A 16,956-nucleotide genomic window follows, 5' to 3' on the forward strand; every position below is an offset into this window, starting at 1 on the left:
CTAGCTCTGCATTTGGTTACTTGATGAGTTCAAAAGAAGCTCAAATCTCAGCATTAAGCACCATACTCCCTGTTACAAGGCCGCACATGTACCCCCGAATCTAAAAAAAAAGTTTAACATTAACAATAATAAATTACAAATAAATATGCATCGTTATAAGCAAGATTTGTAGTGCAGTAGGTCCTTGAATAATGCCATTTCATTCAACATTGTTTTATTATAGTGTTGATGAGAAAACAAAATCGGTTCCCAACCAGGGCCGCTGTCAGTGTGGAGTTTGTACATTCTGCCCGTGTCTGCAAGGGTAACCTCTGGGCACTCAAATTTCCTCTTACATCTCAAAGATGTGCATGTGGATTAGTGGGCATGTCTACATTGTCCCCATCTGAGTGAGTGTGGGTGAGGGTGGGTGCACCCTGAGACGGGATGGCATCCTGTCCAGGTTGGGTCCCAGCTCAGTACTCTGAGCTACTGGGATAAGATCTGGCCACCCTGAACTGGAGTAATTGGCAACATCATTATCTTACTTGTTTTATTCTTTTGTTTTGAAATGGAGTCTCACTCTATTGCTCGGGCTGGGGTACAGTGGTATGGCCTCGGCTCCCTGCAGCCTCTACTCCCTGGGCTCAAGCAATCCTCCTGCCTCAGCCTCCTAAGTAGCTGGGACCACAGGCATGCGCCACCATGCCCGTCTAATTTCTGTACTTTTGTATTTTCAGTAGAGATGGGGTTTCACCATGTTTTCCAGGCTGGTCTCGAACTCCTGGACTCAAGTGATCCACATACCTCGGCCTCCCAAAGTGCTGGGATTACAAGCGTGAGCCAATGCGCCTGGCCTATTCATCTTTCTTAAATGTATGCATAGCCCACTTTCACTTCAGTGTTAATATTAGATGTGTCTTGGTCTTTATTTAGAAATCTGGTTATTTTTTGTGATCAGAAATATGCCGTAGGAAACTTATTCTTGTTTATATTAATTAGCCTGTGGTAAAATTGATTTCATTATATGTTGTTTTGCTTAAAGTCACAGTTTTCAAGAAACTGTTGAAAATGTTAAGTGAGTACTTAACTGTATTTTGAGTGGAATAATTTGCAACTGAAAAAAGTTTACAAAAATAGGATTAATTTCTGCAGAAAATGTTCACAGTAAAATGCCAAGGGATAAAAATGGTATTAAAAATTATATACACAGTATGGTCTTAATTTTAGGAGAAAATTCTATATCTATGCAAGCATATATAGTTATAGGTTTGTGTACAAAAATGGCTGTAAAGTAATACACCAAAATACTAATAGCAGTTTTGCCTGGGTAGTGGAATTTGGGTAATTTCAGCTTTCTTCCTTATACCTTTCTTTATTTTCTAAATTTTATAATAAATATTTTCTTTTTGAACTCAGGAAATCTATGGTATTTATTTTTCAAGGTAAATTTTTCTTTAAGCATCAGTGGTAAAATTACTTTTGTCCCCCTCCAGTGTTGAAGAGTGCAAGAAATTGGGAGTCCTAGGTTTGAAATGTTTTTAGCTAAGAGGACTAGAGAATGGCAGTTAATGTACATCAATGATAATTGATCCAGGAGACGCTTTGGAGTTGACTTAAAATGTAAAAATGTGTTCAGGGTTCAATATATCTATTTTCAAGGTGTTATTGATCAGATCTGTTTGGTTTCATCACCTCTGGCAGATGTTCCAGTGGTTTCTTAGGAGAGCCTCCCTCTACCCTGGTATGTGTGATCGTAAGCCAGACTTTCTGAATGCAGCTTAATGCCCAAGACCAAAATAGACTAGTGAGTCACTTGGACATATTCTGAATCAAAGATTTAAAAACCAAAGCATGCAAATAAATGCTCCTAATGCCTTAGCTCAGAGTAAACATCAGTTAATTTTAATTTTAAGGCTAGCCAAATGGCTATTGCTTAAGGCGGCCAGAGTGATGTTAATGTGAAGAGCTGGCTCCGTATGGGCAAGGGCTACATGTTTTGGTGTGTTATGGTATTTATGGTATGCTATTTCATTTTAATTAATTTTGTGTATTCTCTATGATACTAACACAATGTTGGGCATGTACAAAGTGCTGAGTCAATGACAGAGACCAGAGCAGAGGAGAGTAATATAAAGTACTGATTGATGAGGATGTCATAGGTTGGCTGAGTCTGCCCTGCTTCGTGGCTTTTGTCTTGGTTTAATCATTAATAGTATCCTCTTTTACTCTCAAAAGTCTTTCATTTGGATGATTGTTTTATAGGGCCACTTTTTGACTGAGGTGGCTGAGTAAAATCTTCTAGATTCCATGCGTTCATCTCTGCCTGAACAGCAGTTGTCTGCCTGGCAAAAATGTAAGAGCCACACCCAAAAGCACATGCTTTTTAATGCTCCCTCTCTCCTTCTTACCCTGCGTAATGGCTGCAGTTTTGTACTAAGCCTTTTCAGATAGATTAAATGGAACTGTTGAAGAAGCCCTAGAGGATTAAAGCTCTGGACAAGTTGATCTCTTTCTATGACCACAGCTGTTCCAGATGGTGGTAATACTTCTAGGACCCTGAATGCTGCATTTGGGGCCAATGGGATGAAATCCCAAGAGCACATTGAAACTGACAAGCTGCCTTGACATTTGCTCTTTAGCTCCTAAGCCATGGATTCACTTCTTCTTTATGGCGGTTTGCACTTCTGTTTCCTTTATTCCTTCAGGGACTCCTGCTCCATCCCCTTTTTTCTTTAGAAGAATGAGAATTTAAAAGGCAGCATGTCTAATTCACTGAGGATTCAGTGCCCCTTAATTGCCTTAGAAGCCTGAAAAGTCAGGCTCTAGGAATAAGCTCAGAGGACTCAAATTGAGACAAACATTTGTATTTTGACAAAAGCTGTGCAGTCTTCTGATTCCTGCCCTCAAAGCAGAGTGTAATAAATGAGATTGAGAAAACACTTGTATTTTCTGAATTAGGGTTTAAGTTCCTGGAAACCTCTTGTTCTTGTTTAATTTAAGATTGAAATCTGTGTTTTTTTTTTTTTTTTTTTTTTGAGACGGAGTCTCACTGTGTCTCCCAGGTTGGAGTGCGGTGGCGCGATCTCGGCTCACTGCAAGCTCCGCCTCCCGGGTTCACGCCATTCTCCTGCCTCAGCCTCCCAAGTAGCTGGGACTACAGGCGCCCGCCAACACGCCCGGCTAATTTTTTGTATTTTTAGTAGAAACGGGGTTTCACCGTGTTAGCCAAGATGGTCTCGATCTCCTGACCTCGTGATCCGCCCGTCTCGGCCTCCCAAAGTGCTGGGATTACAGGCGTGAGCCACCGCGCCCGGCCCTGTGTTTGTTTAAAAATGAAAATGGTTCTAAACTTTTCTTGGGTCACTGAGCCCTCTGAGAAAATGATGACTGAGGATTTTCTCCTCTCACGTGTGTACACACAAAGAACATTTTATATATAACTTCAGAAGTCTTATGTTGCCTATTCCACTCTGGATTGTAGGTTAATATAGGAGATAGTTGGTTGCCTTTCCCATATCCATGCTCTGTAGCCTGCATTCCTTCTTCCTAGGAGAAACCTTATTATCTCCAGGTAGCTCACCCTCCTCCATGGGATGGTGTGTTTGAGAGGGGGCCCTGGCCTCTGGTCCCAGGGGTGGTGGGGATGGAGGAGAATGATTGGTCTAAACCAATCATGATGGTCCCCTGTCTCCTTTGCTAGAGACTGGTTCAGCCATGGGTATGTGATACATTTCTCACAAATAAGAGGAGTGTAATCCTGCCGGGTAGCTTTGGGACAAAGTTTCATCACTCTTAAGATGCGAACCATGTAGTAGTATGGATGAAGCAATCTCGAAACCCTTTTTAGGTGTATAATAAGGTTGAGCAAATGAGAAAAGGCAGAAATAGCCCTATGGAGTGGATTGGAATTGGCATATTGGTGTGAATTGAATTTATGATTTCTAAAATATGCAAGTGAATGCATATATGTGTGTTTATGTGCAGATGTATGTATGTGTATATTTATAAATATGTGTGAAGACATATATATGTATAGTATACATACGGTCATATATTTCCTAGCTCTGCCTCTTAAAAGGACCAAGAAGAAATGAGATCCCAATAACAATGAGAACACCTGCTACCCAGATTCTGACACCATTCTTCACTAAAAAACCCCTCAAAAACAAAACCAAAAAACCAAGCTACCTTGCAGAAATTCCAGGGCCGGGGCGTGAATCAAGGTGATACTGGAATCGCAGATTGTGTTTCTCAGGCTAGTCTCCTAACTAAGCCTTTAACAGGCCAATCCAGTCTTCAGTTAAGCTGGATGCTTGTGAATGAGGTGGTATATGAGAAAACTCATGGAGTCCCTACTCATACACTCATTGCTGCACCTCCTTTGACATATATCGATCCCTGGGTCTGAAGCAATGTTGTGTGGGATACTACACTGATAGATTAGGCATTCTTATGTTCTCAAATAGTGGCACTTGCAGAGACCCTAAAGGCAGAGAAAGCAAACCCAAACCTGGAGTACATGTCAATTTATGTAAGCATGAATTTCTATCTCCCCTCTCCTTTTTGGGGTGGAAGTGGTCTGTTATGATCAGCCTTTCCCCAAGGGCCTGGCTGATATCTGTGAAGGTGCTATAGAGATTGGCATCTCCCTCTGCCATTGGTTGGCTGGACCATTCAGCAGTGGTAATAGCTAGGTCATTGCTAAGAGAAAGCCCACAATACCGAGCCCACATACAGCCTTTATCCTGCCACCTGAGCCATCTCATCCATGGGCCCATTGTGCTAGCACTGGTTGTCTGAGAAGAAGACTCTGGCTGACATCCACAGGGGAGTCATGCATTCAACCAGCCACCACTGGATCTTCTCATTCACATGGCTTGAGTGACAGGGCAGATTGTACCAGAGCCTGCTGCTGCTGAGTCCTCTCCTGCTTTGGACCACATTTCTGCTGTCTGCTAACTGAATACAGAGCTTGAAATAAAGAATTGCATGCAAGAGACTTATTTGTCAATGTGATCCCAAGGAGTAGGAGGGACGAGGGGGGATGAAATAGGGAAGGAAGGAAAGCCAGTACAGCGGCCATGCTAGGTACAACTGATGTTCAATCCCATCAGATCTTCTAGGAGACTCATGAAATTTATCTCAGCACTGTAAGGAACTAATGGGGTTATCGTCTCCTGTCCATCATTGTTCATTGGTCACAGCTGGTCCCACATGTTTTAGCTCCCAGGTTGTGCATGTCAGCTGTCCCAGAAGCTTTCTTCAGGTGTCGGAGAAGTCTGAGGGCAGGAGTCCAGAGATAGAAGGCATCTGGTACAGCCAAAAATGAGGTGCCATCAAGTTGCACCTGTTTGGAAGTTGGTTGGAACCTCTGCTGGATTGGAAGGCTGCATCGGGGACTGAAGTGGGAGGTGAGAGGAGATAAATTAGGAGTGTTACATAAATTGTGTCCCATGCACACACTACACTCCAAAGGGTCTAATGAGGAAAATGCAGGCTTTGAACAAGCCACACCTGGCTCCACTCTTATCTAGTTGTAATACTTTGGTTTATTTACCTGACTATTCTAAAGTTCAGTTTCTCGTCTGCACAATGAGGATATCAACTCGTTATGCAACTGGGAGAGTTAGCAGATGTGACATCTGTTAAGTTCCTGCTTTGGGCCTGGTATTGACTATGCAAAGCAGCAGATGCACAGATAACTTTCTAGTCTTGTAGATGGAAGGGAAGGGAAGGAGATAGTGGATGAGGGACGGGTTCATAGGAAGAGGGCATTGGACAAAAATGCAGGAAAAAGAACTCTTCATAAACAGAGAGTGGTGTGCATGTGTTACAGGGAGAGAGGACAGGTAAAGGTGTTAAAGGTGGCAAGATTAGTATGGTCAAAGTAGAGTCCAGACCAAGATTGGGTGTGTTCCAGGAAATAGCGGGACTTCCATTTGAGTGCCTTATAGTTATTTCTTAGGAGTGGACACAGAAGACAGCACAGCTGGGGTAGGCGCTTGAACGCCAGTTTGAATAGTTTGAATTATACTTGGTAGGCAGCCTAGAAGGAGCTATAGACAACTTCTCCAAAGACTGGAAATTCAACCAAAGAGGCCAGTTTGCTTTCTAGTTTCCCCATTCCCTCAGCTCATTCAGGCCACGCAGGAAGTTACCATTGCATATGTGTCCTTCTTGTAGCCTCTGGGGATATCACTGTGTAACTTACTCATTCCAGAAGAGACATATGGGAAGATGGGGGTGGGCAGGAGTAGGGGGCTAGCTCTCATTCATGTTTTACTTTCTTTCTTTTTTTGAGACCGAGTTTCACTCTTGTTGCCCAGGCTGGGGTGCAGTGGCTCAATCTCAGCTCATTGCAACCTCTGCCTCCCAGGTTCAAGTGATTCTCCTGGCTCAGCCTCCTGAGTAGCTGGGATTGCAGGCGACTGCCACCATGCCCAGCTAATTTTTTGTATTTTTAGCAGAGATGGGGTTTCATCATGTTGGTCTCGAACTCCTGACCTCAGGTGATCTACTTGCCTCGGCCTCCCAAAGTGCAGGGATTACAGGCATGAGCCACGGTGCCTGGCCTCATATTTTACTTTCAAGGCGTAGTGTATAGTGCCCCGTGCTAACTAACGTATAGTAAGTACTGAGTAAATATTTGAGGAGAGGATGAGTGAATGAAAGTGCTATGTATTTATCTCTTCCAGTTCTTTTCTTGGTGGCACTGTTAGCTTATGTGGCTCCTTGGGTAAGACATTTGCCTGCCTTGTGCCAGAGCCAGCCGTGAGCTAGCACAGGGGCGAACTTCTCTTAGGTTCTGAGGTTGAAGACTTTGGACAGGTTTTGAGCTTAGATGCATATTGAATGTGTGTGTCTCCATTTTTCTTTCTAGGTCTGATGTGGCTGTGTTTCAGCCTGTGCTTATACAGTATTCAATTCACTGAAAAATAATGTGGTTGTGTAAACACTCAGAAGGAAGTGTGGTGTGACCGGTGATCACAGCTTCTGCCAGAATATCTAGAACAGGATGCATTCTGCGATGAAAGAGATGACTACAATAGCTGTAGCTATTTATTTTATAAAAAAAAATTCTTAGCCCTAGTTCATGGCCTACTTCTTCCAAGCAGTACAGGTCAAGCATCCCTAATCTGAAAAGCTCCAAAATGTGAAACTTTTTGAGCACCAACATCATGCCACAAGTGAAAAATGCCACACTCGGGTACTTAACACAAAGTTTGCTTCAGGTGCAAAATTATTTAAAATATTGTATAAAATTACCTTCAAGCTATGTGTAAAGGGGTGTCTGTGAAACATAAATAAACTTTATGTTTAGACTTGGGTTTCATCCCCAAAATATCTCAGTGTGCATGTACAAATATTCCAAAATTAAAAAAAAAATTCAAAACACTTCTGGTCCCAAGCATTTCAGATAAAGTATATTCAATCTGTATTAAATGTAACAAAATTTCAGTAACATGACAGAATCTGAGCAATGACTTGGAGGCTTATGTCACTGATTTTGCCTTACTGTGAGAATATTTGGGGAGCTGAGCCCAGGAAATGTACTTTTCCTTTTGTTCTTTTTTTTTTTTTTTTGAGATGGAGTCTCACTCTGTTGCTCAGGCTGGAGTGCAATGGTGCGATCTCAGCTCACTGCAACCTCTCCTGGGTTCAAGCGATTCTCCTGCCTCCAAGCAATTCTCCTGCCTCAGCCTCCCGAATAGTTGGGATTGCAGGCGCACACCACCGTGCCTGGCTAATTTTTGTATCTTTAGTACTAGAGATGGGATTTCACCATGTTGGCCAAGCTGGTCTCGAACTCCTGACCTCAAGTGATCCACCCGGCTTGGCCTCCCAACTCTAGCTGCAGAGTTACTTAACTCTTGGCTCTTTCACAGTATAAAGGGATTTGGAGAATTAATCTGATATTCCCAGGTTGAATTTTTTTTATTTGTTCATAAAATTTAAGCAAAAAGTATTTTTTAAAATCTTCCAGCAATTCAGGGCCTTATGTTCTGGAGAGCCGAGCATTCTAAAGAACGTAGCATCATTTCCTAGAATTTTGCATCGGTACCCTGAGCTCCTTCATGTTCTTTAACTTTCGTTCCCCAGCACATGAAACACCATGGCAGCAACCCTTATTGCTTGTGGCTACTTCTACGTCCCTCCTTTTTTTCACAGGACATTCCGTTCTTCTCACCAGCCCTAACCTGTTTGCCACTTGGCAAGCACGGGGAACAGGACTCTCCACAGTCTTACCCCGGGGACTAGTTTCAGCTTTTCAGAGAGCAAAGCTTCTGGTCCAACAGTATTTGGAAATTGAGACAATTGAGGAGAAGTAGTAATATGTTCAACTGCAGAGAATGTAGCCTTTGGCATACAAGGAGGAAGCTGTCTTGGCATCTGTCATTAGAGCCACTGGGTATTTTGGAAAAAGTCCATTTCATTCTTCCTCTTTTTGGATCCTGAAACAAGAAGCTATAGTGCCATCAGGAATATAGAGATTGGGAAGCATGGGAATGATTCAAGTAAACTTCTGAAGAAAGCGTACACCTCCAGGGTAGCTAAACAAGCAGAATGCTTGTTGGGGAAGCAAAATCATCTGAAAACAACCTGAATTTGGAGGTAATAGAAAAAAAAAGTTTTTTAAAAAATTTTATTTAAAATGGAAAAATTTAATGGTAGGATGGGAAAGTAGTACTTCTAGCTTGGTTTTGGATTCAGACCTGGATGGGAATACTAACTGTTAGAACTTGAGAAAACAATGTTAGCATCTAAACCTTAGTTTAGATGAAATGTGAAATGAGAGAATAATAGTTCATTTGTGCCCTTTTGAAAGATGTTTAAATTGTGGTAAAACACAACAACATAGAATTATCGTCTTAATCATTATAGTATAATTCAGTGGCATTAAGTACATCCACATTGGTATGCATCTGTCCCCAGAACTCTTTTTTCATTTTATAAAACTGAAAATCCACACTCATTAAAGAGTAACTCCCCAGTTTTTTCCCCCTCCTCCAGCCCCTAGTAGCCATCACTTTACTTTCTGTCTGTATGAATTTGACTACTCCAGGTACCTTGTTTAAGTGGAATCATACAGTATTTGTCATTTTATGACTGGCTTATTTTACTTAGCATAGTGTCTCCAAGGTTCATCCATGTTGTAGCATGTGTCAGAATTCCCTTTCTTCTTAAGGCTGAATAATCTTCCATCATCTGCATGTTGTCTTTATATACCATATTTTGTGTATCTATTTATCTGTCAGTGGACACTTGGGTTGCTTCCACCTTTTGGCAATTGTGAATAATACTGCTATGAACATGGGTGTACAGATATCTCCTTGAGACCCGTGTGTTAGTTTGCTAGGGCTGTCATAACAGAGTCCCTAGACTGAGTGACTTAAATAACAGAAATTTATTTTCTCATAATTCTGCAGGCTAGGCATCTGAGATCAAGGTGTTATTAGGATTAATATCTTCTGAGGCCTCTCCCCTTGGCTTATAAATGACTGTCCCTCTCTATATCTTCACATGATCTTTCCTGTGTGTGTGTCTGTGTGTCCATGTCCAAATTTCCTCTTCATATAAGGACACCATTCATATTAGATGAGAACCCATCCTAAATACCATATCTTAACTTAGTTACCTCTTTAAAAATGTATTTCCAAATAAAATGCTGTTCTGAAGTACTGGGAGTTAAGATTTCATAAATTTTGTGGGAATACAATTTGGCCCATGATACCCCACTTTCAATTCTTTTGGATATATCCCTAGAAGTGGAGTTGCTAGATTATATGGTAATCCTATTTTTAATTTTTTTAAAGGACATAGTTCATTTTTATAGGGTGGCTGTGAGATTTAAATGCCCGTAAAATTTCTAGTGTAGGGTTGGCCCCAGAAAAAGTTGACTTCAATTAGCTGTATAAACTGTAAAGTTAACTATTCTGATCCCTGGATTTTTAGGCAAAGAAATTGAGTCCACAAAAGTTAGGCAACTTATGTCTTCAAGTTTCTGGTTAGCATCAGATTCAGAAAAATAACCTAGGTTTTGGCAATGTCAGGACTGTTGATACCACCATGCACCATTTCTTTTCAGTCCTTCATAGACTGTTCAGTTATTTGCTATTAACTATTTTCTGGCTTTTATGGTATGTGATTTATTATTTTTTTAAACTTAGTTTTCTGAATAGGTACTATATTCACTTGGTTCAAAAATTGCAAAAGTTTATAAAGGTTTACAGTAGAATGTCTTTCTCTTATGTTTATCCACCAGCAACAGTGTGCCTTCCCCATAACCAACTGATATTACCAGTTTCTAATGTAGTCTTCCAAAGATATTTTATGCATGTATAAGCAACTCCATTTGTGTATTTTTTTTTTTGCCATTTTCTTATACAAATGGTAATTTGTAGTCTTCTGCATCTTATTTCACTTAATGTATTTTGGAGATCGTACCACATCAATACATAAAAAAAACTTCTACATTCTTGTTTTGGCTCCATAGCATTCCATTGTTGAATGCCCTGTTCCTCATTTAGCCATCTCCTGTTATTAAGACAGTTGTTATTACAGACAATACTGTGTTTAAAAAACTTGTACATACATCATTTTGCATGAGTGGGAGATGTTATATCTTTATATCTTTAGTATATATTCCTAGTGGTAGAATTGCTGGGACAAAAGGACTATGCATTCATAAGACAGATTTTTGCCAAGCGTTCCTTCAAAGGACTTTACCAATTTATATTTTCACTATCATCTTATGGAACTTTTAATGACGAGGAGATGGCAGTAGTTTCCAAATATATTAGACCAGGCCCTAATTTATTAATCTAGTGATGACTGTCTTCATGAGGGCTTGGCAGGAGTCAAAGCAAAAATCAGAGGACATCTCCCATAGATCAGGAACAACATAAGGATGTCTTTTCTTGCAATCTGTGTTAAACATTGTACTGCTAGACAAGAAAATGAAATCAAAAGGATCCACACTGGAAAAGAAGAAGTAAGATGATCTCTGTTTGTAGATAACACAAACAGATCTCTGTTTGTAGATAGAAAATTCTAAGGAACCCACTAAGAAAACTATTAGCACTTACAAGCAAGTTCAGCAAGGGTGCAGGATACAAGATTAACATACAAAAATCAATTGTATTTTTATACACTAGCTATGATCAATTTGTAAATAAAATATGGTGAAATAATTTCCTTTATAATATCCTCAAAAAGAATAAAATACCTTGGAATAAATTTAACGAAAGAAATGCAAATCTTATACTCTGAAAGCTACACTGTTGAAAGATTATTAAAGAAGATCTAAATAAATGCAAAGGCGTACCATGTTCATGAGTCAAAAGACTTAATATTGTTAAGATGGCAGTAGTTTCCAAATTGATCTGAAGATTAAATGCAATTCTCATGAGAATTTCAGCTGACTTCTTTGCAGAAATTGATAGGCTAATCCTGAAATTCATAAGATAATTTAAAGGCCTCAGAATAGCCAAAACAACCTTGGAAAAGAATGAACTCGGAGGAATCACACTTCCTGATTTCAAAACTTACTGAAAGCTACAGTAATCAAGACAGCGTGATGCTGGATTAAGGATAGACACAGACAAATGGAATAGAATCGAAAGTCCATAAATAAATCCTTGCATTTACAATCAGTTGATTTTTGACAAGAGTGCCAAGACAATTCAGGGGGAAAGGAGTAGTCTTTTCAACAAATGTTGCTTGGACTGCTGGATATACATATGTAAAAGAATGAATTTTGACCCTTACCTCCCACCATATACAAAAACTACAATTAACCAAATACTTAAATATAAGAGCTAAACATGTAATACTCTTAGAAGAAAACATAGGTGTAAGTTGTCATAACCTTGGATTTGTCAACGATTTCTTAGATATAATAGCAAAACCGTAAGCACCTATGAAAAGATAGGTAAGTTAGATTTCATCAAAGTTAAAAATTTTTCTGTGGCAAAGACACAATCAGGAAAGTGAAAAGGCAATTGACAGAATGGGAGAAAATATTTATAAATTATGTATCTGATAAAGGACCTGTATGTAGACCATGTAAAGAACCTTTCATTTAATACTGAAAAGATAACTAAAAAAATGAGTGAAGGATTTGAACAGACATTTTACCAAAGAAGATCTATAAATGGCCAATAAATACGTAAAATTATGTTCAGCATCACTGATTATCAGGGAAATGCAAATCAAAACCCCAGTGAGATCTACTTCACATCTAGGATGACAATTGTAACAAAAACAGAAAATAACAAGTGTAGGTGAGGATGTGGAGAAATTGGAACCCTTTACATTGCTGATGGGAACGTAACATGGTGTAGCTGCTTTGAGAAACAGGTTGGCAGGTTCAGGAAAGGTTAAATATAGAGTTACTGTTGGACCTAGCAATTTCACTCATAGGTATATACTCAAGAGAATTAAAAACGTATGCTCACTCAAAAAACTTGTACATGAATGTACTTAGCAGCATTATTTATAATAGCCAAAAAGTGGAAACAATACATATCTGATGAATGAATAAATAAAAGGTGGCACAGGTATTCTATACAATGGAATATTTTCAGCAATAGGAAGGAAGAATTACTGATACAAGCTACAACACAGATGAACTTTGAAAATATTTTGCAAAGTGAAAGGAGCCAGTCACAAAAGTGCACATATTGTATAATTTCATTATATGAAATATCTAGAATAGGCAAATCTGTAGAGACAGAAAGTAGGCTAGTAGTTGCCAGGGGCTAGAGGGAAGGGTAGTGTTGAAGGAAAAGAGGGAGTGACTGATAATGGGTATGGTGTTTTTTATGTGGGTGATAAAAATGTTCTAAAATGGATTGTGATGATGGTTGCACAGCTCTGAATATTCTAAAAGCCATTGAATTGTACAATTAAAATAGGTGAAATACATGTTAAATAAGTGAATAGGTAAATTATATCTCAATAAAGGTATTTTAATAAGAGTCAGAGTGCAAAGGTAATGTCATGGACCAACTCTAAAATTAACAATTCAAACTCTTCAGTAGCAAACATTCTAAAATCTCTAGAAAAGTATCCCATACTCACATCTCATACTCACATGTGTCCACTGAGACTCGTGGGTAGTTCTTGAGATGGGAACCACTTCTGAGTCATTTTTTTTTTCAGGTTTTAGGATGAGCAACTTTGGAACGGAGGAGGCCTTTAGAAGAAAGAAGGAAGTTTTAGATCATGCCTGCAATTCAGCCTTGCAGAGTTGTTTGCCTGTTTGAATTTTCTCTTATCTCTATGGAACATTGACTACTTCCTCAGAAGCTTATACACTGTTAGAGTACTGGGTAAAATTTCATTTGAAACTACGGGAACTCCTTTGCTGACCTATTGTGGCTGTTCCTAATGTTTCTTGGCTTCATGCTGCTTAGGACCCCATGGGAAATCTTGGCAGAACACCCTGTTATACATCTATACTGAGTGCCTCTCACAGCTTCCCTTCACATCAGATTTTTCTGTTTGTCACCCGCTTTTGCCCCTTTTCCTTCTTGTCTTAAAGAGAGACATCCTTCACTCCTGTCTCTGAGGCTACCTGTCTCCTGTGTTCTTGATCCCACGTTGTCCCTTGGGACACTGCTTCATCATTTCTGTGTACCTCTCTGGCCTCTTTTGACCCTTTCCCTCATGGGCTTTTTTTCTTGGCTTGACAGTTGCTCAAATTTCCCATCATTTTTTAAGAAAGTAGTAACAAATGTACAAAAAGTCCCAAGCATCAAAACTTTCCTTAGATGTTTATGTCTTTCTCAATAGACTACAATCTTTTTATTTTCTCACAGTCAACTTTTTTTTGAAAAGTCTGTGTATTTTCCTATTTCCATTTATGTAAACTTTGAATGAAGAGACCAGAGTTACAAAGCAAAGAGCCTTGTGCTAAAATTAAGTCTAGAACATATCATACTTGGAAGCATTCTGCATGTGAAGGAGAAGTGGGGTGGCCACAAGGAGGAGAAGGCATTTTCTAAATTGTTTTTCCACGTTGTGGTACTTGAAGCCCAACGACTGTAATTAGACTCGTATTCTGGCTACAGGGCTGGATGCAGTGAGAGTGTTATTTGGTGTCCCACTTTGTTTGTTTATATTTTAGGCATTGGAGAATGGACCAGTTTCTTGGGGGAGAAAGTACCATTCTTGAGATTAAGAGATGGAAGTTCTCCCTGTACAGAAAATGCCCTGAGAGAGTCATCAAGATGTATTTGGTTAAGTGTGTTCATTTCACTTTGAATGTTAAGGTTTCTGGCATGAAGCCAGATTTCAGAATCTCAGTGATCTTGAGTGTTTAGTCTAGTCTGAGACTGATGAGTGTTCTACCAGGAAGTGAGAAGCATCAGGTTGAGAATATCATTGGGATAAGGTGAGCAGGGAATCCATTAAGGGACTAAGAGCCCTTTACTTTGATATTGAGAGGGGACACTGCCACACATGATACAAACAGCACTGATCTTGCTCAGCATCTGCAAATAAGGATCGCAGACACAACTTTTCAAATAGTCACTTCAGCCTTACCCTTCTGCTAAAGTAATTTATGTCAAGTAGGGAATAGGCTTTTCAATGTCATCCAAACCCCCTGCTTAGGGAAGGGGCATTCGTTTGTAAACACACTACAGAGCTATTGAAGAATACAAAACTTGGTGACCTTATCTGTAAAGCTGGTGTGGTACCCTTCTCAAACACCAGAGCACCGTTTAGTGAGAAAATCAGCTAGTCGATTGCCCAAACGTTTTCCATTTTAGCATCAGAGGAACCAAAGTCCAGGAAGGTGAAAATATGTTGGGCAAAGGTCGTGGCAATTTAGTTTTTTGATTGAGTCTAGATCTCCCTGGATAGACCTGGGTCGTGTCAAAACAGTTTCTGGTAAACAGTTTTATAACCTGCCTCTGTGATCCAGAAGAGCCTGGACATGTGAGTAGAAAGCCTGTACAGTGGATTTAATCCTGGACTTTTTCCTTTGGATACCAGAATTTATATATAGCCCTGACATAGTTCAGCAATAATCCTTACACGAGCTAGTGGAAACAGACTTGTGATGAAGAGTAATTTCAGCTGAAGGACTAAATACAATTATATGGGAAAGCCGACTGCTTACATCTGTACAAGCTCTGTGTATGTGGACAAGGTCCTCGAAACAGAGGAAGTAATACCCCATGCAGCTGTAGTGATCATTAAATTAAGCAATTCGTGTGAAATGCTGAGAACTGTGCCTTGCATGTAACACATACGCAATAAATTCTAGGTGCTATTATTATTCTCATGAGCAACCACTTGTTAATAAGAAGGTACCTGCCAGAAACGGCAGTGTAGCTGATGGGTAACTTACAGCGTTCATTTATCCCAGACATATTTATTGAGCATCACAGCCTATATTGATTTGCTCCTTTAATGCCACCAAGGTAGATATTGGTTTTCCCATTTTAAGGGTGAGGCTTACATTAATAACATCCCAAGTTTTCACTGCTAATGACGGGCTTGGTCCTTTCCCACTAGGTCTCTTTTTCACAGGGTCTTGTTGTGTTGTTTTCCAATTTACTACATATAACTTTGTTGGAGACTTTAAAATCATCTGACTTTGTATAGATATGAGTGGGTACTTCCTTCAGTCTTTAATTCTGCTTCCCAATAATGAAGACTTGTGAGAATTTCCATCAATAATATTTACTTAAAATCAATCCAATAAAAACCTACAACTTAAAGAAAATCTTATGAAATTACTGTATGCAGGAAATATTACAAATTACCTCCTCATATTTTTGATTAGCCATTAAAATCAGTTTGGGAATTAAAGAGCTTCTGTATAGCAAAAGAAACTAACACTAGAGTAAACAGACAACCTACAGAATGGGAGGAAATATTCTCAAACAATGCATCCAACAAAGGTTTAATATCTAAAATCTATAAGAAACTTAATTCAACAAGCAAAAAACAAATAACCTCATTAAAAAGTGGGCAAAAGACATGAACAGACACTTCTCAAAAGAAGACATACAAAAAAATGCTCCACATCACTAATCATCAGAGAAATGCAAATCAATACCACAATGAGACAGTGAGAATGGTTATTATTAAAAAGTCAAAAAATGAGATGCTGGTGAGGCTGTAGAGAAGAAGAAATGCTTATACATTATTAGTGGGAACGTAAATTAGTTCAGCCACTCTGGAGAGCAGTTTGAGAATGTCCCCAAGAACTTAAAACAGAGCTACCATTTGACCTAGCAATCCCATTGCTGGGTATATATCCAAAAGAAAAAAATTGTTCTACCAAAAAGACACATGCCCACATATGTTCCTTGCAGCACTATTCACAGTAGTAAAGACATGGACTCAACCTAAATGCCCATCAGTAATAGACTGGATAAAGAAAATGTGGTACATATACACCGTGAAATACTATTCAGCTATAAAAAAGAACAAAAGCATGTTCTTTGCAGGAACATGGAGGCAAGCAAGTCAGTGCAGGAACAGAAAAGCGAGTACTGCATGCTCTCACTTAGAAGTGGGAGCTAAACACTTATGTCCACTTCGGTACTCGTGGACATAAAGATGGCAACAATAGACCCTGGAGACTAGTAGAAGCTTGAAGGAGGGAGGGGAGAAAGGGTTGCATAACTAACTGTTGGATACTGTATTCACTACCTGGGTGATGAGATCAGTCCAAACCTCAGCATCATAAAATATACCCATGTAACAAACCTGCACATGTACCTCCTGAATCTAAAATAAAAACTGCAGTTATAGAAATAAAATAAGGCTGAGTGTGGTGGCTCATGCCTGTAATCCCAGCACTTTGGGAGGCTGAGGTGGGTGGATCACCTGAGGTCAGGAGTTCGAGACCAGCCTGACCAATATGGTGAAACCCCGTCTCTAGTAAAAATACAAAATTAGCCAGGTATGGTGGTGCATGCCTGTAATCCCAGCTACTCAGGAGGCTGAGGC

The 16,956-nt window shown here is 39.6% G+C and overlaps 1 protein-coding gene and 1 long non-coding RNA gene across 3 annotated transcripts in view; one reads left to right on the forward strand and one right to left on the reverse strand.

Annotated features, from left to right (window-relative positions):
* MAP2K6 (mitogen-activated protein kinase kinase 6) overlaps positions 1-16,956 on the forward strand; it is a 139,169-nt gene that overhangs the window by 57,473 nt on the left and 64,740 nt on the right. The window lies entirely within an intron of this gene.
* Positions 3,085-13,363, reverse strand: MAP2K6-AS1 (MAP2K6 antisense RNA 1). Its single transcript, NR_145982.1, has 2 exons — positions 13,079-13,363; positions 3,085-5,381 (listed from the first exon to the last, which is right to left on the reverse strand). It is a non-coding gene; the product is annotated as an MAP2K6 antisense RNA 1 (long non-coding RNA).

The sequence above is a fragment of the Homo sapiens genome, chromosome 17 (genome assembly GCF_000001405.40).
Source record: "Homo sapiens chromosome 17, GRCh38.p14 Primary Assembly".
Lineage (NCBI taxonomy): Eukaryota > Metazoa > Chordata > Mammalia > Primates > Hominidae > Homo > Homo sapiens.